Source organism: Homo sapiens, chromosome 4 (genome assembly GCF_000001405.40).
Source record: "Homo sapiens chromosome 4, GRCh38.p14 Primary Assembly".
NCBI classification, from domain to species: domain Eukaryota; kingdom Metazoa; phylum Chordata; class Mammalia; order Primates; family Hominidae; genus Homo; species Homo sapiens.
The window spans coordinates 146368075-146391611 of record NC_000004.12 but is presented as its reverse complement, the minus strand read 5'-3'; the positions used below and the strand labels follow the sequence as shown (position 1 = coordinate 146391611).

Genomic DNA, 23537 nt, shown 5'->3' with positions numbered 1-23537 from the left:
TACACCTCTGTCCCTAACAATTGACCAGCGGCTCAATGAAATCCAGCTCTACAGACTTGCACCAAATATTTGAGCAGATTTTAAAACTGAGGGGCTGAGGTACACTTTATTTCTCAACTCAAATTATGTCAGACAGTTCAAGAATTCTGTTTGCTTTTAGCAGTGTTTTTACTTTACGCTTTTTCTTCCTTGGTGATGGTCACACAGACTGTTTTTCTGTTTGGTAACAACAATAACCCATAGTTCAGACTGCTCTTTTTAGAGACATTGATTTGCACCATCACAAATGGAGACCTGACATTGTTTTCCTCTTAACACATTTGCAGTGTTCACATTTGGAAGGCCAATATTTAAAAACTGGTATATTTTATATAATATGTATATGAGAACTGTAAGAAAGATGAACAAATTAAAGAAAATTGCTGATTGTTTTATTAAGGGCAAGAGTTTATATGGTCTACATGTCCTTTTTTGAGCAAAGCAGTTTTTTTAATAAGTCAAGATGACATTTTATGTGCATGTCATCTTTTTATGAACATTTAGACATTTTAATTACACAACACACACACATTTAACTAGCAAGATGATAGTGTCCTTTCCAGCTTCACTATCTAGCTCTCTCCTTAATGAAAACAGATCAAAGTTAATTTGTTTTTCCCTTTCAAGTTGCTCTGAGCGTTAGTTTCTTCTAAAACCCCTCTTGCTTCCGTATTTCCCACCTTTACAACCATTTTTTTTTTGTTTTAACTTTTCTGTATGTCTGGAAAATCTGATTTTAGAATTAAAAGCAAGAAGTACTTACAATGCAGGCAAGTTTAAACCCAGTAGACTTAAATAATTCACAATTAATATAACTGGTAAAGCAGGAGGGGAAAATTGCTCGTGTTTTCCTAGCTCCCCCTGCTCTGAATTTTCCCAGTCCTAGGATTCTGATTGAAATAACCATATTTTATTATTATTTTATTTCATTTTCTTTGAGACAGGGTCTTGCTTTGTCACCCAGACTGGAGTGCAGTGGCTTAAACATGGTTCACTGCAGTCTTGACCTGCTGGCCCAAGGCTCAAGTGATCCTCCTGCCTCAGCCCTGCAGGTAGCTGGGACTACAGGTGTGCACCTCCACACCCGGCTAATTTTTTGTATTTTTTGTAGAGATACGGTTTCTCCATGTTGCTTAGCTTGGTCTTGAACTCCTGAGCTCAAGCAGTCTGACCGCCTTGGCCTCCCAAAGTGCTGGGATTACAGGTGTGAGCCACTGTACCCAGCCTAAATAGCTATCTTTTACATATTCTGTATCCTCCTTCAAAACTGCCCCATGCCTAATGTTAAGCCTTTAATAACTATTAGCTTTACAGTACTACAATCTGTCACTGAAACCATAAAACATGATGGCCTTCTGTCAATTTCAATATAGTTTCTTGTGAACAGGTTTACTTACAACTAAAGAGCTCGTTGTCTGATTATTCTGTGTAAGATATAAAATATTAGTGAAAATAGTTTTTCAAATAGCAGAATCTAGATGTCTTCAACAAATTTTACTATTAAAAGGTTAAAATCACACCCTCACACCTTAGTGATGTTATGTACTATTATAATTGTCATTGTAACTCCTAAAAATATGTTTTTTGAGATTCCATAGGTTGCATTCAGCTAACATTTATTGAGCATCTATTAAGCTAGGCAACTGTGCTAAGTGATTTGGCATCCATTATTTCACAAATTCTAACAACAGCCCCAGGGAGGAATGGTCATCTGCATTTTATAGCTAAGAACTCTGAGAATCATAGGGGCTAGTTAAGTGATTTGCCCAAGGTTTCATAGCCAGAAGGCCAAACCGAAAGTTCTTCTAATTCCAAGTCTGAGATTCATATCTATCTAACAGCCATTCCCCCTCCCTGCCCTGTTACATTAGAAGCTGATAAACCAACCCTGGTCATAAAGACACTATGTTGTGCTAAGGAGAATGAAGTTCTCTCTGGGAATGTTGGTCTACTACTTGTCTTGGCACTACTTATAGCTTTTGAAAGAGTTAATAGATCTCATTAAGTGTATGTTTGTTTTAGTTGGTTCAGGCTGCTGTAACGAATTACCATAGACTCCATGGCTTTAACAAAAACATTTATTTCTTGACAGTCTGGAGCTGCAAATCCAAGATCTGGTTGTCAGCATATAAAGATGGTTGGATTCTGATGAAAGCTTTCTTCCAGGTTGCAGACAACTGACTTTTCCCTGTGTCTCCACATGGCAGAGACCAAGCTAGCTAGCTCTCTGGCCTCTTTTAATGTTTTTTTTTTTTATTTTTGTAGACTTAGGGGACACAAATGGAGTTTTGTTACATGGATATATTGCATAGTGGTGAGGTCTGGGTTTTAGTGTACCTGTTGCCCAAATAGTGAATATTATACCCAATGGGTAAATTTTCAACCCTCACCCTCCTTCCACTCTTCTACCTTTTGGAGTCTCCCATGTCCATTGTTCCACTCTGTGTCCATTGTTTAGCTCCCGCTTGTGAGTAAGAACACGTAGCTTTGATTTTCTGTTTCTGAGTTCTTTCACTTAGGATAATGGCCTCCAGTTGAGTTGTTTGAGTTCCTTGTAGATTCTGAATAGTAACCGTTTGTTGGCTGCATAGCTTGCAAATATTTTCTCCCATTCTGTACATTATCTATTTGCTCTGTTAATTATTTATTTTGCTGTACAGGAGCTTTTTAATTAAGTCCCATTAGTCTATTTTTGTTTCTGTTGCATTTTCTTTTGAGGACTTAGTCATGAATTCTTTGCCTATGTCAATGTCCAGAAGAGTTTTTCTTTCCTAGGTTTTCTTCTAGGGTTTTTTTTTTTGTTGTTGTTGTTTTTTGACAGAGTCTCACACTGTCAACCAGGCTGGAGTGCAGTGGCAACATCTCGGCTCACTGCAAGCTCCACCTCCTGGGTTCACGCCATTCTCCTGCCTCAGCCTCTTGAGTAGCTGGGACTACAGGCGCGCACCACCACGCCCAGCTAATTTTTTTGTATTTTTACTAGAGATGGGGTTTCACTGTGTTAGCCAGGATGGTCTCGATCAGCTGACCTCATGATCCACCCGCCTCAGCCTCCCAAAGTCCTGGGATTACAGGCGTGATCCACCATGCGCAGCCTCTTCTAGGATTTTTATAGTTTCAGGTTTTACATTTAAGTCTTTAATCCATCTTGAGTTAATTTTTGTAAATGGTGAGAGATATGGGTCCAGTTTCATTTTCTGTATATGGTTCTCCAGTTTTCCCAGCACCATTTATTGAATGGAGTGTCCTTTCCCCAGTGTATATCTTTGTCAACTTTGTCAAAGGTCAGTTGGTTGTAGGTATGTGGCCTTATTTCTGGGTTCTCTATTCTGTTCCACTGATCTATTTGTCTGTTTTTATACCAATACCATGCTGTTTTGGTTAATATAGCCTTGTAATATAAATTGATATCAGATAATTTGATGCCTCCAGCTTTGTTCTTTTGCTTAGGATTGCTTTGGCTAATCAGGCTCTTTTTTAGTTCCCTGTGAATTTTAGAATTGTTTTTCTAATTCTGTGAAAAATGATGTTGGTAATTTGATAGGGATTACGTTGAATCTGTAGATTGCTTTGGGCAGTATGGTCATTTTATCAATATTGATACTTCCAGTCTGTGAGCATGGAATGTTTTTTCATTTGTTGGTGTCATCTCTGGTTTCTTTCATCAGTATTTTGTAGTTGTCCTTGTAGAGATCTTTTGCCTCCTTAGATAAATGTATCCCTAGGTATTTTTTTGGTATGTATTATAAATGAGACTGAGTTATTTATTTGGTTTTCAACTGGATTGCCATTGATATATAGAAATGTTACTGATTTTTGTACTTGATTTTGTATCCTGAAACTTTGTTGAAATCATTTATCAAAGCTAGGGGTCCTTTGTAGGAGTCTTTAGGGTTTTCTACATAAAAGATCATATTATCAGTGAACAGAGATAATCTGACTTCCTTTTTTCCAATTTATATGCCTTTTGTTTCTTTCTCTTGCCTGATTGCTCTAGCTAGGACTTCCAGTGCTATGTTCCCTGGTAAAAGTGGGCATCCTTGTCTTGTTCCAGTCCTAGGGGGAATGCTTTCAACTTTTCCCTGATGCATATGATGTTGGCTCTGGGTTTGTTTGTTTGATGCCTCATTTGTTGTGAGTTTTTATCATGAAGGGATGCCAAATTTATCAGATGCTTTTTCTATGTCTATTGAGATGATCATATGGTTTTTGTTTTTAATTCTGTTTATGTGGCGAATCACATTTATTGATTTGCATATGTTGAACCATCCTTGTATCTCTAGAATAAGACCCACTTGACTGTGGTGTATTATCTTTTCGATGTGCTGCTAAATTTGGTTTGCTAGTATTTGGTTGAGGATTCTTGCATCTATGTTAATCAGGGTTATTCTCTGGCCTCTTCTTATAAGGACACTAGTCTAAATCATGAGGGCTCCACCTTTGTGACCCAATTGTCTTCCAAAAGTCCCACCTCCAAATACTTTCACATCAGGATTAGGATTTTAATTTGCATTAAATTACAAAGAAAGTTGCTAAAAGGTCAGAAGTAGAATCTAATTCTCCCTCCGATTCTCTCACAAACATACATTTATTCAGTGATTTTGCTGATTGATTTTGTAGTTGTTTATTGAGTATCTCCTATATGTAAGAGACTATACTAAGCTCTATGAAAAATAGAACTTGCTATTCGATATGCTTCCTTTCCTCAAGTGCCCATGGACTATTAAGGGAGAGAGACATATATACAAATAATTGTCCTTCCAAGAAGAAAGCAGTATGTAGTATAAAAAGAGGCACATATAACTGAAGGAATATTTAGAAGAGTACGTTTTATGGGTTAAAGGGCATTTGAGTGGACTTTGAAGGATGGATAAGATTTGGACATATGGCCGATAACAGTACATTCCAAAAAAAAGAAAGAGTAAATGCATGATATAGAAAGTGCTGAGAGTTCATTAGGTTAGAGAAGGTACCTTTGAAGGGCCAGAATAGCAGTAGGCATTAACAACAGAGAATATGTGAATACATGCTAAGATATTAGGTGAGCATTGCCACAATGTCACACACACAGTTTGCAAGTAACAGAGAGTTTGGGAGGCAGACAGTTGAGAGAGAGGTAGCAAAATGTTAATGACTGGTAATTGGTGAGTGCAGGTAAAGGATATATGAGTGTTCATTATACTATTCTTAGCAACTTTTCTGTACGTTTAAAAACATTTTTTTTTAAGTTGAGGGCATCACTAATCATGAGAGAAGTGCAAATCAAAACCGCAATGAGATACCAACTCACACCAGTTGAAATGGCTATTATTAAACAGTCAAAAAACAACAGATGCTGGCAATGCTGCAGAGAAAAAGGAATTCTTAAACACTGTTGGTAAGAATCTAATTCAGTTTAGCCACTGTGGAAAGCAGTTTGGAGAGTTCTCATAGACTTTAAGATAGAACTACTATTTGACCCTACACTCCCATTACTGGCTATATGTCCAAAGGAAAATAAATTGGTCTTCCAAAAAGACATGGACTCATATGTTCATCACTGAATTATTCACAATAGCAAAAACATGGAATCAACTTAGGTACCCCATCAACAGTTGATTAGATAAAGAAAATGTGGTACATATACACTATGGAAGGAAAGAAATCATGACTTCTGCAGCAACATGGATTTAGCTTGTGGCCATTATCCTAAGTGAGTTAATGCAAGAAAAGAAAACCAAATACTGCATGTTCTCACTTGTAAGTGGGAGCTAAACACTGGGTACTTACGGACATGAAGATGGCAACAAGAGACACTGGGGACTACTAGAGTCGGGAGGGAGGAAGGGGGCAAGAGTTGACTAACTATTGGATAATATGCTCACTATCTGGCTGATGAGATCAAATGTACTCCAAACTTCAGCATCATGCAGTATACCCAGGTAACAAACCTGCATGTGTACCCCTTGCATCTAAAATAAAAGTTATTTCGAGTTAAAAAAATTTATTTATTTTTAAGTTGAGGGAAAAAATCAAAATGTATGAGAAACATCTGTAATCAATAAGCAAAGGACAGTCACCTAATTGGAAAAAATAAAGCGAAACATATGACATGAAATGACACAGGAGAATCAAAAAGATGAGTAAATATGCTGAACCTCTTAAGAGTTAGAGAAATTTAAGTTAAAGCAATGAGATTCTACTTTTCACCTATTTGATTATGCTGTTTTAAAAGTGAGGCATTTTTTAAAGTAATGGCAAAAACCGCAGTTACTTTTGCACTAACCTAATAATATCAACCTTCTGTAATTACTATAGGGATTAGAGAACAGACATGTGAAGCACCTGCCACACAGAAGAATTTAGTAACAATATCTCCTTCTACTACCAATATTATCTAACAAAAGATATTATTGAAACCCTAAACCTAGGGTATTAGCAGAGGAAATGGAAAAAAATCAACTAGACTTGGCAACTGATTGTATTTGAGGGGAAGAGAAAAAATACTAAGGAGAGGAAGACATTGCTATAGAAAGGAAGAAAGGTGGCTTAATTGTTTGCCATATTGATTGTTAAATACTCTGAAGGAGTCTTTTCAGTAAGGGTAGTTGATTCTTAGAAATTATTGAAGATAGACCCATAATTTAAAGACTATTCTTATATAATTATTCTGTTTTAAAAAATATATTCTTAAATACATAATATGGGCACATTAAAAAGCAGTGTATAAATGTAAAAAAAATGCAAGTATCCCTTTCTTATCTCTCCTTATGGATAGCCATTGTTAAGTTTGTCATGTTTTCCTTCATGACCTAGGCACCTCCCAGTAGGCCCACCTCCAACATTGGGGATTATATTTTAACATAAGATTTGGAGGGGACAAAACATCTAAATCATATCAAGTATAATATTCTGATTTTATATTTCTATAAAAGTCTGTAGTAATTCTGTAAAATTAATCTTCTAATATTGTCCAAATCCCTATATATACATAGTGTGCTTTTTTATGAAACCTGATAAAGAGACTAATAATAAAATCACATAGTTCATGTATTTAGTTTATCATTGGCTTTTTGACCATGTGTTCTTTCAAGGAACTGGGCTAGGCACAAAGAATACAAAGAAATATGTATTTTTACCCATTTCCCATTAGTCTTTTTACATTGATTTTATAAGCTACTCATAAAATAATAACCTATGTCTGTTACATGTGTTGCATATATTATTTCTAGTCATTTATCTTTTGACCATATGATGTTTTTGTCATCTGGGGCTTAAAAAGAAGTTGTGTAATTAAATTTATCAGTTTTTTTCTTTATGGCTTTTAGGCATTATTACTTTTTAAGAGTTACCAAGTTTCATTTTATATTCTGTATTAATCCACCAAATAGCAGTTTTGAGCATGAAATAAAAGATGTTTGCTGGACTTTAATAATTGACATTGTTTGATTAGTACAGTTTTTTTGAGAGCAGGAATATAATTTCATTCTGGCACTGCTCACGTGGGAAAGCAATAAATATAGTGTTAGATCTCAGAGATTATTTGATACAATACCTTTGATGTGTAACTGAGGAAACTGAGACCCAGAGTGTTTGAAACGACTTCCCCTAAATTACACAGTTAATCAGTGCCAGCAGTTGAATTGGAATCCTGGTTTCTTTGACTTCTGATCTGGTGTCATTAATTAAATACATGAACAAATACATTTAACATGCTTAGAACATACCTGACATCTAATTAGTAGCTACCTAAGTATTGGCTATTATTAGCTTGTTGTTGTCTTCATCATCAATGAGCACAGATTCTGGAGCCAGGCTGAGATTGAATCTCAGTGATTTTAATAGTTGTTAGCCTTTCTGAACTTCAGGTTTCTCAGCTATAAAATGGGACAATAAGGTAACCTATTGTTACCAGTGGAAGGTGTCCAGGCTGTTGGAAGTTTGAACAAAGAATTGGACAAAACACACAAAGCAAGGAAAGAATGAAGCAACAAAAGCAGAGATATATTGAAAACAAAAGCACACTCCACAGGGTGGGAGCAGGCCTGAGAAAGCGGCTCAATGGCCTGGTTACAGAATTTTCTGGGGGCTTAAATATCGTCTAGAGATTTCCCATTGCTTACTTGGTGTATGCTCTATGCAAATGAAGAGGATGAAATGAGATTACAAAGTTATTTACTCGGTGTACACCCTGTACAAATGAAGAGGATGTTTCCTGTCATAGCTGACTTGGCCTTAGAAAGCCGCGGTTTTCCCCCTTTGATTTAGTTCTAGGAAGTCCTTAGGTTCCCTGCTCCTAGACCCTATTCTCCTGCTTCACTGTCTCATAGGGAGTTGAGAGAATTCACTAAGTTCTTATATACAGAGTACTACTTGAATCAAAATAATCATTTTGTAAATATTTACTATTATTACTTCAGAGCCCTAGAATCAGTTGAACAACCTAATCTGGTCTATTTAAAGAAGTCAAGGTAACAATAAAAATGCTTACTTTTATTGTGTGATGAGGCTGCAGGTCACAATAGATAAGGAGACAAATCGAGCTTTCAGTGGTTTCAGAGGCCTACATTCCAGAAGAAAATCGGGGAGCCATGCATGAGGAGGCAGTGCCTAGAGGTGGTTAGAGGTACCAAGGAAAGTTTCACCGATATTGATGATATTCTGCACCCCCCACCCCCAATACTGATATAATTCTATCTCAAGATACCCTGGGCCCATCATGGAAAAGAGTTTCATGGGTCAAGATTGAGTTTTGGATTTTTCTCATATACAAAACTAGATATTATGAAGAGGAAAGGACACAAGGTGACAATTTTATAAGAAATTTAAAATGGTGTGATTTTAAACACATTTGGAGTACTTTTAATCTCTGGATTCTGAAATATATTTCTCGAAGAGGACATTATTTATATTAAAAAGCCCTTCATGCTTAGAACTGCTCAGTCCATCATGAGCATCTTCTGTGCCAGCTATTTATAAAGTAACTTCAATATTTGATTTTCAACATGCCTTGGTAACCCCTAAAATATTGGGTCTTGCCATTCATATTAAATATTATCAATTCCATGTCTGTTTCAGTAAATTCACTCATTGAGTGCCAACTATGTGTCAGCACTACTCGTTATTAAAGATACAAAAATGAAAACAGCCCTAGTACAACCTCCCTTCTCCCAGCCCCTGGGAGTCTGTAGTCTATTGGGTGAAACAGTAATTGTAACATGATGTTAGTGCTGTGACAGTGTAAATACAGTGATGGCACAATGGAAGAAATGACTGATCAGAAATAGGCCACTTTATGCAGTCCTTGAGCAAATTTAGTCCTTCTACAGGAGAATAAGCAATTATTAAACAATGTCAACATAACTAGAAATGTTTATCCATTCATAAGTGTTATTTTGTAACATCGCTATAATTGCACAGCATGTATAATCTCCGTATGATGATAACAGAACCCAGAGTACTTGGAATATTTACAGAGGTAAAAATATACAAAACCTTTGCAACAAAGCCCTTTGTCAGATTAGATTTTTTTTTTTCTCTTATCCCATGCCTTTAGAGAGTTTGAATGCCTTCTCTAAGATTGGGAGACATTTTTCTTTCTAGGTTTAGAAATCATTATTTTCTGTGTAGTCTTCTATAAACTATTGATACTGCAAATGCTTCTTTAAGTCACTGAAATGTCTGTTTTTGTAGATTTTAGACTTTAGGGCTAAGCAATCTTATGACAAGTAGAGAGCAGGCATAGAAAAAGGTATAAATGCTGTCTAGGTGATTGATAATATGGCTGGCTGTCTCAGGGGCTAGCTTCTGGAAAGGGCCTTCCAAGGGTAGTTTTAAGAACAATTGCCTAGGGCAGTCTTAGGCTGAGTGTGTGGTAGAAACAGAACTTGCTCCTTTGGGGGAAGGGAAAAGAAGAACTTGCCTCCCTAAAGACTGATGGCTTCTCTTTGTCTGATGAAAGAGTGGCATTGACAGAGTGCAGAGTGGATGAGAGCAAATCTTCCTTGCCTCCAGTGAAGATTTTTCTTTGGCTGGGTGGAGGGATTCAAATTGTGAAGTCTATTTGGGATGAGTTATCTGCAATCTCTCCCTATCCCTGGAGAGAATGAGAATGACTAATTGAAGCATCCCATAACAGTAATTGAGACGGATTGAAAGGGGAAATGAGTGATTAACCTTGAGCCTCCTCCTGATGCTGTGCATGGCAATGTTAGAGTAGATTTCTGGGGGTGAGGGGAGGGTTCCTAAACAGTTCAGTTTTACAAAAGTTCACATAGCTCCTCTAATTAACTTTCAGAGAACTATATTTCCGCCCCAACTTAAATTTCAGATACTTGTTGCTCTGTTTTACATCATTCTATTGATGAAAGTTTGTTATTGATGACTGAAAACCAGAGTCAGATTTACTCAGAAGCTAATGATGCTTAAGCTTTAGGGCCCCTCATTTGCATGGGCCCCTTCTGAGGCCCTGGCACTAGTTTTGTACTCCTTTCTTAAACAAGAGCCCCCCAAATTGTATGGGCTTTAGGGGTCACAAAACCTGGATCTGTCCCTTCTGATAAAATTCTAATTATAAATGAGTGGATCAGGCATAAATTTTAAAATTCTGTAAAATGATGGCCGGCATTTCTTCACTCCCTAGAAACTTTGGAACTGTTTAAATTTATAATAAATGCTTAGGTGTATATCTATATCTAAATTATCTATTTTTTTTAACTTCTGGGAATCAAGATAAACATCGTACCAACTAATTATATGTTTTTGTAAGTATAGAGATTACTTTATTCCCTCTATAATGTTAGTCATGTTAAAAAGGAAAAGGAAAAGAAAAAAATTCCTACAATAATATAATGTGCCAGTTTGTATATTTCTGTGTACTGATACAACAATTATAAGTAGGAATCAAATGAATTCATTTCAGAAAGTCTCAATGGATCGCCTACATTTTGAATTGCAATGCAATTCATCTTTGTAGCCTTTAGCAACACCTAATTTAGTGCCCCATATGTAGTAGGTCATCAAAAAGTAGTTTTTGAATTGAAAATAAAATAAGTATATGCAGTGAACTGAATCGCTTTTAAAACTAAAAAGGTATGTTGGCAAGATCTCTCTGATTTGACAAAAATAAAACATATAACCTAAATATAGTGGTTTGCACATTGATGGCAAGTAGTTTTTATAGAGCAGAACTCTCTTTTTCAGAAATTGCATAACCATGTTTTGCAAGTACAATTAATATAATATCACAAGCCTATTACCACATTATTACCTGACTAGTGAATGCATGGTTAATTTAGGCAACCTATGTGCCTTTTCTGGAAATTCACATACTGTCAAAACTATGGGATTTTTTTCTTCATTATTATTGTGATTTTGTTTCTCTGCCTTTGATAGGGTTGTAGATTGATCCAGAGGGATTAAAACTAACATATACCTGGTTTTAAACAAAAGTGTATTTGACCCATAGTACTCCTTGTTATATATTTGGATCTGAAACATCTTTTGGATAGTTTTCTTCCCAATGGGTATTAGATTTTCCTCAGACTGCTTTCTAAGAGACAGAAGCTCAGCTCTCTTGCTTGCTTACCCATATTCTTGCATACACACACGCACACACACACACACACACACACAGAGAGAGAGAGAGAGAGAGAGAGAATTATTTGTCAAGCAGATATTTGTGTAGTATGAATCACTGAATGAACTCTGAACTGCATAGTTTGACAAGACTTGGGGCCATTCTTCAAGCTATCAAGAATTTTAAATCTCTCAGCTAGGAATAATATATCTGATATAATACTCAATAGTGGGATGATCTAGAAATACTCAATGAAAGAGTACTTAATGCGATGTTCTTTGGAGAGGATAAAAATATAAGGAGGAATACACTGATTTAGAAGAAAGTAATTAATTGCTAATATTGACATTGATGATTTAAGTTTTTCTTCCAAGTGGACAGTTATCAAGATTGGGGTTTTTGTCTTTGGAGAAGACTATTTCTCACTTTTCTGATCTCTTCAGTTATTCTGGCAGTTTCATAGCCAATTACATGAGACAAAATATTTGTTTCATTTTAGATCAGCTATCCTAGTTTTGAATATACATTAGTCTTACCAGCAACAGTAATTATAATATTAAGATAACCAGTAACTTTTTTATTGGAGGTCTTATTTCTCAAAGACCTGTTTATCCTGATGATGTTACTGAAGCGTCTGATAAATCTGCATCAATAAAATCTGTTGTATTCATCAATTAAACAAAGAGAGGCTGCAGATACATGTATATATGTGTTAAAGATGGTCACTTTGGATAGTTGTAAGGATAATTGCTGAGAACAATGTAGACCTCAGTGAAACAGACTGATATGAACTATTCTGAGCTATTGGACCAGCATATGTCTAAATGAATAGGATCCTAATGGTTTTGTGAGCTAGAAGGTAGAATGAAAGTAATTTGGTCAGCATTCCTAAGTCTGCAATTCTGTTAGGCTAGTTCAGACACTCTCCACAGGAAGTGGACATTGAGGTCAGAAGTTGGGTCAAAGCCTTTTAATTGTGAGCCTCCATGATGCCTCTGGGCTTGGGTCAATACCCTGAAAGGCTCTGTTTGTGGGCCTGGAAAGGGTATATTATGGGGGCTCAGGTGGTCTCTTGACTGTTCTAATACTCAATTGTGAGAAGCAGATTATCTGCTTTGCAGATTATCTGATCTTCTATCATCAGCCTTCCCATTGGGCTTTGAGTTGCCAAGGATGGGGCTAAAATGTGAAGTACAGGAAGTTAGGCACAGTGGACTCTGTGTGCAATCCCATTACAAAACCAAATATAAATAATTCAAGAACCACTTTGTTAAATGACTTTAGTTTTATTTGGTTTGGCCTTTTTCTCTATCTTAATCTATATTCTCCAGAGTTGACTAAGCCTCATTTATTTTATTCTCATTTTCTAGAAATCTTTAGACTAGAAAATAGACATGTCGTAAAATCTATTCAAGTTGGAATGACACAAACACCTTTCCTTCTTTTATGTACTCTATAATGTAGATTGAGCATTATGGCATAATTTAATTTCTTCTCTGAAAATTCATGAAATCATTCCAGTCTAGGCTGTCCTTAGCACCCTGGTAATCTTGGTTGATTGTGTCTCTTCAAACTGTGGTTTGATCAGAAGAAAGACTGGTTATCTTTGTGATTCAGTTTCTGTGGATTAGGAAATTGGAGCTGTATTGTGGATTATGTTTTTTATTTAAGACCAGAACATTATCGTTATTCTCCCATGTTTTCTAAAATAAGAAGAGAGAGAGAGAGATTATAATTTTCTCTATAGCTAGGCAGATGAACTGTTGATAACGAAGCAGATTCATGCCCTTTTTTGGCGCAAGAAAGCATCCCTGCACACTTAGAAGCAAAGTAGCAGACTCTTAAATTCTGGTCTTTGTTGTCATCACTAGACCTCATGCCTCCCTCTGAAAGAACTGCATCCAAAACCAGTCTTTTCCACCTAAAACGCATACTCTTTCCTTTGTTCCAGTAGCCCTGGCATAGATGCTCTAAGAATAGAGACAGCATGAGTAGTGCCAGTGAACAAGAATTTTGGGCTTCAGCATCACCTTCTATTCTTTTTATTTTTCCCAAATAAGTTAGTTTTGATGACTGGGTTTCCTGTTAGTAGTATCTTTACTTACAATACTGGCATATAAACCTATGAAGTTTGAATTTTGTTGGCAATTTTAAAGTATTTTTTTTATTCAAAAGATGTTCATTTCACACTTTGTACCAGGCACTGTTCCAGGTACTTGTGATATACAAATTAATAAAGCAGACTCTGCCCTTGTGGAGTTTACATCTGGAATATTGTGATATAATAAGAAATATGTAGTTGTCCTCTGCACACCCTCTTTGTTCCTGGGACAGAGCTCCTAAAACCTTTGTAGATAAAGGTGATAGGAGACTCTTTTGTTCTAATATATGGTCTTTGGTTCTGGGTCCCTGAACAACCCTTTGCAATCTCCAGAGTGATAATGAGATGGGAGAATTTCCTTGACCTTATCATGGGACTTGAGACAGGAGTGTGGCTTGCTTAAACCCCTTGCGGGAGGAGGAGCATGCAGGTGAGTGTGTGCCAGGGCTGGGGTGAGTGCTTTTGGGCTCTAGCCCCACAGCAGCATCCAGGGGTGTGTTACAATTAATGCTCCTTTAGCAGCTGCCATCCACAGATGGCTAAGTGTTAACCAGCTCAATGGAGAGTCAGGGTGACAGCCTTTTACATCCTGCCCTCTTGGTACCTGGGTTCTTGTCCAGCATCCAGAAAGAATCAGGTCACATGGACTTGAAGGATGCAGAGATTTTATTGAGTGTGTAAAAAGTAAAGTAAAGGTTCCTCTTCAAAGACTTTCCTCCCCGTCTAATTAGAAATAAACAGTAACTTCTCTTAAAAACAAAATTTATTCAAAGACCTGTGCTAACATTCTTAAATATCTGCTAGCTGTAATAATAAAAAAAAATGTACTTTACATTCTTATCTTCCACAATTTAGCCTAAATATTTGCCCTGGCATGCTTATACTGGTCCAAGCAAGCATTAAGTTATAGCCTGTTCCTCTTCCTTATTTAAAGGTGTTTTTACCTTTCTCAGCATTCCTCAAGTTACTTCCTCCTTCCTTTGTTCTCCTCTGCCTTTGCCTCTTAAACATTTCTAAGTTGCTAGCCAATTGAGACAAATACAGATTGTGAGGTCCCGTTCCAGCCAATAAAAACGGGACACAGCTGTAAAGTGGACGCATCAGGTTATAAATGACCTTGTCTCCTTTGTTCAATATACAGTCGCGGCAAAACTGCTGGTGAGTGTACCCTTTCTGCAGAAAGTATAAAAATGGCCTTGCTGAAGAAATTGAATTTATGTTCAAGTGCTATTTCTTTATGGCACTGGGGAACAAGCATTTCAAACAAGCGATGGGGTGGCTTTCAGCAGGATGGGGAGCTGGAAAGGGGATGGAAGGGAAAGTTAGTCTTCCCCTGGAGTTCGGCTGGGGACCAACCATCCCTGTCTGAACTCTTCTCAATGTTAAGATGCCTCCTCTCTCCTTCTTTACCATGCTGCTCTGCTCCTGTGCCAGTGGGGTTTGGGGTTTTTAATGGGTATAGGATGGGGGGTGTGGTGGGCCAGGGTGGTTTTGGAAAAAGCAACATTTGGGCTGGACAACAGGGGCAACTATTCTCATTTAGGGTTGCAGTTTCCAGGCTTGAGGGTGGGGCATTTGCCAGGGAACCACCCTCTTCTACCCAGTATTTCCCCTCCTCCTATCCATATCAATAAGATCGGACAAAGAGCTTCTAAATCCTTTAGAATTTTGTGGGTGATAGGAACATCTTTTGTTCTAATGAGGAGATTCTTGGTGAACTCCTAGATAGCCTCAGGATGAGGCTGAATATGTGGAGGTTTCTGGAGTGTGGTGTGTCCTGAAAGGGCATGAAAGCTCTGTGCTCCTCTACCACACCACTCTATGCATCTCTTCCATCTGGCTGTTTATCCTTTGTAATATCCTGTACAGTAAATGGGTAAACGTAAGTAAAGTGTTTCCTTGGGTTCTGTAAGCTGCTCTCACAAATTAATCAAACCTGAGAAGGGGGTCACGGGCACCCTTAACTTATCACTGGTCTGTCATCAGTATAGGTCACAAGCTAGGACTTGTGATTAGCATGTGAAGTGGGGGGCAGTCTGATGGGACTGAGCCTTCAACCTGTGGGATCCGACACTATCTTCACCAAGTGCCGGAATAGAATTGAATTAGAGGACACCCAGCTGGTGTCTGCTGGAGAATTGTTTGGTATGTGAGGAAACAACCCTAACACAGCTCATGTCAGAGGGGTTGTGTTGTGTGAGAATAGGAAAAACACTAGGGTTTTTCTTAGCCTTTACAACATTCTGTTGGGAGGAGGCAGACAATAAAAAAATGAACGAAATAAATAGGTAAATCACACAGCTTGTTAAAAGGAGATAAGTTGTAAGGAAAAAGAGAAACAAAAACAAAAAAGAAGAGTTAGGTTAATGCTTATACGTTAAAGGGAGCTAGATGTTCTGTGGCAGGGTTGGGGAAATTGCAATTTAAGTACAGTGGTCAAGTTGGCCTCATGTAGGAGTAACATTTAGGAGTAACTTGAGGGCCATGAGGGAGTTAAGCGTGAGGATTTCTGGAGAACATTCCAGGCAAAGGAAACAATGAATGCAAAGGTAAGAGCATCTCTCCAGGTATTCAAAGGTGATGTTCCTACAAATTGAGATTAGAATGTTTTTCCTAAAATCAGTCTTTCATTATTAAGCTCCTGTCTATTCATACTGTTTGGTTTTTTGTTGTGTTTTGTTTTGCTTTTTGTTTTTGTTTTTGTTTTCTGAGATGGAGTCTCCCTCTGTCACCCAGGCCGGAGTGCAGTGGTGCAATCTCGGCTCACTGCAACCTCCATCTCCCAGGTTCAAGTGACTCTCCTGCCTCAGCCTCCTGAGTAGCTAGGATTACAGGCATGCACCACCATGCCTGGTTAATTTTTGTTTTTTTAGTAGAGACAGGGTTTCACCATGTTTGCCAGGCTAGTCTCGAACTCCTGACCTCAGGTGATCCATCTGCCTCAGCCTCCCAAAGTGCTAGGATTACAGGCGTAAGCCACCACACCTAGTGGGTTTTTGAGATAATTTAACAATATTAGAAACAGATGGTCTCTCTCAGTGACTCTGCATCTCTAGAAATGATAATACAGTACTTTTTACATCCAATGTATCTTTTTAAATGTCATGCATCTTCTGAGAAAATCATAGCATTTGTTAAATACTATGTTAAAGTAATTTCACGTATTGAAGTAATGTTAGCACAGTTTCTTTAGGAATCTAAACGAATAACCCTTACTTTCCATAGTGGTCACATCCAGAAAATATATATATATGTGTGTGTGTGTGTGTGTGTGTGTGTGTGTGTGTGTGTGTGTATGTGTATATATATATATGTATATATTTTTTTTGAGACAGTCTCACTCTGTTGCCTAGGCTAGAGTGCAGTAGTGTAATCTCAGCTTGCTGCAACCTCTGCCTCCCAGGTTCAAACGATTCTCCTGCCTCAGTCTCCCAAGTTGCTGGGATTACAGGCGTGCACCACCATGCCCAGCTAGTTTCTGTATTTTTAGTAGCGAGGGAATTTCACCATGTTGCCCAGGCTAGTCTTGAACTCCTGGCCTCAAGTGATCTGCCTGCCTCGGCCTCCCAAAGTGCTAGGATTACAGACATGAGCCACCGCACCTGGCCCAAAATAGCTATGTTATAAGATGGGAGGGGAAAACATTCATTGAGCATCTGTTATATAATAGGCCCTGTGCTAGATCCCTTATATGTGTCATCTCATGTAATCTCGACAAAACGCTGTGAGGTATTATTGTTTCCATTTTGTATAGAGTTCAAAGAGATTAAATAATTTACCCAAAGCCTCAAAATAGAAAATGGAGAAGCAGATCCAAACCCAGGTCTCTTCCAATCTGAGGCCAATGAATAGCACTCCAGTTTGCCCATTTTCCTAGGAGGAACCTGATGGCAGTTTTTGCTTCATGTATTTCCTGTATGCTCCATAGGTAACCAATCTGTACATACTGTTTATTTTATTAAAACCACTTGAATATCTGTCGAATTTATCCACATTTCCTCATCTCCATCACCAGAACCCTAGCTTAGCCATCATCTCTTATAGCCTTTGCCTGTCTCCTGGCATCCAAATCTGAGCAGTGGTTCTCAACCTTGGTTGTATATTAAAATAACTTGGGTGGTTTAAAAAAAATCATTCATATGTGGGCCCCACTCCAGACTGATTAAATTAAGATTCTGGTGGATGAAAGTTTGGATATTAGTATTTTTAAAAATCTCCTTGCATGATTCTAATGTGTACTGAAAGTTGAAAACTACAGTATTAAACATTTTTATAATGTACATTTCACCATTAAAACCCTCTTTCACGTCTCATGTCTCTCAGGATAAATCTAAGCTTTTACTATGGTGCTTTTTGACCTGATCCCTGTGCATACATTGCCAGCCCTTGAATTTTGCCTGGCCCTTGTATTTATTTGTTATCACATTTTTTTTTTTTTTTTGAGACAGGGTCTTGCTATCTCGCCTAGGTTGGAGTGTAGTGGTGCAATTATAGTTCACTGCAGCCTCCATCTCCTGGGCTCAAGCTATCGTCCCACCTCAGCCACTTGAGTAGCTGGGACTACAGGTGTGTTTCACCAGGCCTGGCTAATTTTTTTGATTTTTAGTAGAGATGAGGTCTTGCCATGTTGCCCAGGCTGATCTTAAAATCCTGAGCTCAAGCAACCCTCTCACCTCAGCCTCTCAAAGTACTGGGATTATAGGCATGAGCCTCTGTGCCTGGCCAAAATTATTTCTATTATAACTTCAGAGATGTTTATTTGTACTTGTAATCAGCCTTTTGCTTTAAAATGTTCTTTCTTCAGGCCTTTCTGTAGAATAATGATCAACAAACCCTTAGGTGCACTAAGAAGCTACAAATGATTTTAATGAAATAAACCATTATTTTGTGAAGCAAATAGGGCTCTCTGATGTGGCTGATTGATATTCTTCAAGACAGACCTATTGAAGAACAAATGGATTCTAGCAAATCAAAATTTAAATTGTCCTAGTAGTAATAATGTTGAAACCTGGATGATTTACTTGGATTTATTATTTCATAATTTATATTGCTAAATGTAACTGAGAATAAATAATGGCTAAACAACTTATTTAATCCAAAAAATGTTACTTTTTTAATATTTGATGAAACATTAAGTTAACATGCTTCTCTGCCATTCTGCCATTCCCTGCTCCTTTATGCCATTCTCTTTGCAAAATATTTCAGTAACTCATTAAGAAGGAAAACATAATCTTATTAATGCCTTATTTAAATGAATTAGTGTTTTGTTTAAATTAAAAATAGAAAGGAGGCTAGTGATTTTATGAATCTGTTATTATTAGATAAGCTAAGTATTATTTTACTTAGTGGGCAATATGAGTAAAACATATTGACCTGACTTCTGAGAAGGCTAGAACAAAGGTCTTTAAATTGGGCTGTTCATCAGAATCACTTGGGAAGCATTTTTTTTTTTTTTTTTTTTGAAACAGGGTTTCCCTCTGTCACTCAGGCTGGAGTTCAGTGGTGCAATTGCAGCTCACTGTAGCCTTGACTACCCAGGCTCAAGTGTTCCTGCCACCTCAGCCTCCTGAGTAGCTTGGACTAAAGGTGTATGCCACCATGTCCAGCTGATTTTTGTATTTTTTGTAGAGATGGGGTGTCTCCATGTTGCCCAGGCTGGTCTTGAACTCCTGAGCTCAAGCAATCTGCCCACCTCAGCCTCCCAGAGTGCTAGAATTATGGACAAAAGCTACTGCACCCAGCCAGCTTTGTAACTGTGCTAAAAAACAGTTTTCTCAGCTCTGCCTTAAATGAATAAGAGTCTCTAGGTTTAGGCCCAGGAAGTCCTGATTTTTATCAGATTCCCTAAGGGATTCTGATGCATATATTTAGTAATAGGAAGAGACAGAGAACATCCAGATAGAAGTAACCCATTCACCCATTTGACATAAAACATTGCTTCCGGGATACTAAGATGACTGGGAGTCAAATGGTAGAATGAGAAATACCATTCTGATAACCCATACTTACTTCATTTCCTTATGCTTGAGCCATCCCCAACCATCTGGACTTCTCTAATAATAATAATAGGTCTATAGGTCTCTATTAATAATGGCTCTGACAATAGTAGCAATAATACTTATTACAAGTGAGGCCCTGTTTTTATACATATTAAAAATCTCCATTTAATCCTCAATACATGCTGTGATGTAAGTACTATTATGTGGACAAAACACAAGAAGAGAAGCACCAGGTAGGCAGTTTATTCACCCCAGGTCACTCCTAGGAGGCAGCAGAACCATGATGCCAGCTCTGGCAGGCTAACTCTGAAATTATGTCCTTAGCCACTTTGTTCTGCTTTCTCTAAACACATCGCGTACTTTTTAGAACTCCGTTCCTTTTCTCATGATGCCACCCTTCTAAGAATCCCTTGGTTTTCATTCTTCTCTACTAAAATCCTACTTGTTCCACAAGGCCCAGCATCAACTCTACCATTTATTTGGCCCCCTCTCTCATCATCTTCACTGCCTTTAGATGAGATTAATTGTTCTTGACTTTGTATACAAGGAAGAAAGCAAACAAGCAAACGAATAATTATTAACCATCTAACAAGGGCAGGCGCCCTGTAAGGTAAATAACATTGTGTCTATGTTATAATGCAAGTAAAATGAAGTACAAGAAGGTGGATGCCTTTTGCTGGTACCCCCGATATCTGGTGAAAGCAGATTTGAACCCTAATCTATCTAGCTCCCAAGATTTTTATGCCATGACACATGGTTCTGTCATATCAGAGTACATATCACATTGTAAGATAATGAGTTGTGAATTCCCTGTGGGCAAGAAGCATATCTATCTTTGAAGCCCTAGTTCTAGAAAAAGTGCTGTACATATAATACGTGCTCTGAAAAGTGTTTGATGACTCAATTCTGAGGTTCTTCCATAAACCAGATCTGGGGAATTTTTATGGTGCTGCTAAGCACACACTTTGCAAATGGGGTTAACTTTACTTTCTCCTTCTTCATAGTGTACAGATTATATCTCAAGTCATCAGGAAAATGCCAAATTAAACTCTGAGGGTAATTACTAGATCTTCACTCTCTAGTCATGATGTGATTTAGTGACTTTATTTGCCTTATGATTTCTCTTTTTGGAGTAGACATTTCGGAAACGTAAATAAGAGAGACAAAGAAAGTAAGAAGAGTGGTTTAAAATAATTTTTATTTTTACTGAGCCAAATTTTCTTCTATGAAAAGTACCTCTGAGCGCTGTGGGGGAAGATTAAAAAAGGCTGAATGCCGGTATTTGTTTTGCATGCTTGAGAACTCTATATTCTTCTTTGTGCCCTGAAGTTTAGCGTAGGAACACAGACAATCTGATTTGACCTTAAGTGCCTCCCCAATCTGCTCAGGGGACTCCCTTTAGGAATATAAGCTGACACCACCTTGCCTGAGCTTCTTTCAATCAATAACATGGCAGAGTACACATGATATGAATAGGCAGACCGATAAGAAAGAAAAGCATATCTCTTGATACAAATGGAGCGATAAAAGGACTGGTTTCTATCCAAGGACTTTGAAGGAGAAATCAAGGAGAGAAAGATGGCCAAATGAGAATGTATAGTCAATTAATTTTTCTTCTGAAGGATTTTTTTTATTACTTGTGTTCCGAAGAGAATGGTCAAGTTGTTCTATGCCAGAAAGGAATTTGTTACTCTGATTCTTGGAACAACAAGCCTCTTGGGAGCATGCATTTTGTGACTGTAAATCTACAGTGGCAAAATTGTGTTAATTTGACTGACTAGAAATATTAACCATATTATATCAAATAACTGCCAGAAATAATTCTCTATCATGCCCTCTGACTTTATTTTAATTGATTTTTTTTTACTTTCAGCTTCTGTGATTTTTGTTTATTCTGACATATATTTATTGAATGCATAAAGAAAATTGTTTTGCAAATTATTTTTAGTGTTTTTATCTTGTTTAAATTGGTAGGTTAACTCTTTTTCTGCAGAATTCCAAGGTTTTTTATTTTCAGATGTGATACTGCTGATTTAGCTTTGTGGGCCCACTAATGGCATTATTGTCCACATCAGCAGTCTGTACAATTAAGTTTTATGCTTATAGTATCATTTGATATTTATCAAAGATGTGAAAATCAAAATTGAATATGATTGATTGCTATGAGATATGTTAATATTGGGATTCCTAGGCTATGTTATGGAATAAAGCATTCGCTGTAATAACAAAGATAAGGCCTCTAACATTACTCATTTTATGTTCTATCAGTAATCAGGCCTTAGGAGTAAGCGTCATTTGTCTGCTGGAGATCCCTCATGTTAAAGGAATCACAAGGTGAAAGTTCACTGAATCATCATTTATGATAGTAGGATCTACCAGTCAATATCACCAGTAAAGAAATATTCAAAGGGAGATAATCCATCTGTTTTATCAGCGTGTTTGCTTCTATTTGCCTTGACCTCTGATATTTAAAAATGAAGATGTTTTATGTTTACATATATTTGTCCAAAAAGACTAATGATAATGTTAACCAATAGTTCCTGAGTGTTTACTAAATGCCAGATTCTGTAGAATGCAATTAATATGTATAAATTTATTTAATCCTCACAATAACACTAACTTGTGGAGAAGCTGTTGTTATCACTGTTTTACTGAGGAAGCTGAGGCTCAGAGAGGTTAGATAACATGTTTAGGGTCACACAGATGGTTAAGTGGTAGAGCAAGATTTGAACCCAGGGTGTCTGGCTCCAGGGTCCATACTCCTTATACCTGCTGGAGGAATATACAAGAGATGTAGCCCCTGTCCTCAGTGGCTTGCTTTCTCATTTTTGTGATACTAATCATGAATAGGAAGTTATAATAGAAGACAGACTAGTAAGTAACTGAATAAGTGCCCCTGATAGGTGTTGCAGGTCATCAAGTAAAAAGGAAGATTAATACAGGCTGGGTAGCTCTCAAAATAATTTGTCATTATTTACTTAAAACTGAGATGCCTAGGAAAACTTTAAAGTTCCTAAACACCGAATGTTAATACCAAAAGCACTTTCATAGACTATAGTGTCTTTGTTTTTACATGTGACTCTAGACACTAACTAGTAGGAGTTGTCTTTTACGAATTATCATTTTTTTCCCAGGTTATTTTGAATATTTATATTTCTAGGGAAACTGTCCATTTGGAGAACTTTCACTTGTGACAGAAATTGAATATACACTTGATAAAAATATGTTACTCAAAGCCAATTTAATAGCTAGTGGGTTTGTTCAGGAAGGAAGGAAGGGGCACAAGTTGTATTCTTTTATGGTTTTTAAGTCTTTCTTATTTAAAGTTTTAGGCTGGACAAAATGTTCCTTTGTTTTCTGCAGTTAATCAAATCAGTGCAGGGTTACTACCTACGTAAAAATAATAACTTGCTAATTTAATGTCAAAGCCAAGAATGAATTAGTTTCATGTGATTAGTTGTCAACAGCTTTGGAGATTTTTGGCAGTCTGGTTAAGAAAAGCTATGTAACAGTACCATGGAGAGAACATTTGTACTGTTAAGCTTTCAAACTCTTATTCAGCTGTCAACACATGGGCATTTTCTGCAGCCAGATACTCTCATGCTGTGTACTGCCTGCAGCTTGCCGGAAGCCCAACCTTGACTGAAAGGGTTGATTTCTCTGCTCTTACCCTTGTTCTCATTTAGTGTTAAAACCTGCTTAAAGTCCTCTTTTTATTCTAAAAAGTACACATGCATGTGTCATCTCTTAAACAATTCTGGTGTCAAGGTAAGGGGCCCCAAAGAAATGCTGGACATCTGAATGCATAATTGATTAGAAAGGAGCCTGGCAGTGTTAATTC

The 23537-nt window shown here is 37.4% G+C and overlaps 1 protein-coding gene across 11 annotated transcripts in view, besides 2 other annotated features; it reads left to right on the top strand.

Moving 5' to 3' along the window:
• The window catches only part of SLC10A7 (solute carrier family 10 member 7), a 267960-nt gene that overhangs the window by 130329 nt on the left and 114094 nt on the right, over positions 1-23537 (top strand). The window lies entirely within an intron of this gene.
• Positions 9742-10324: an enhancer, noted in NCBI's record as "NANOG hESC enhancer chr4:147302440-147303022 (GRCh37/hg19 assembly coordinates)". NCBI's record gives its function as "activates a minimal SCP1, AML or CMV promoter by ChIP-STARR-seq in naive and primed H9 embryonic stem cells {active_cell/tissue: H9 hESC(naive and primed)}" and the evidence as "EXISTENCE:reporter gene assay evidence [ECO:0000049][PMID:30033119]".
• Positions 23035-23536: an enhancer, noted in NCBI's record as "NANOG hESC enhancer chr4:147289228-147289729 (GRCh37/hg19 assembly coordinates)". NCBI's record gives its function as "activates a minimal SCP1, AML or CMV promoter by ChIP-STARR-seq in primed H9 embryonic stem cells {active_cell/tissue: H9 hESC(primed)}" and the evidence as "EXISTENCE:reporter gene assay evidence [ECO:0000049][PMID:30033119]".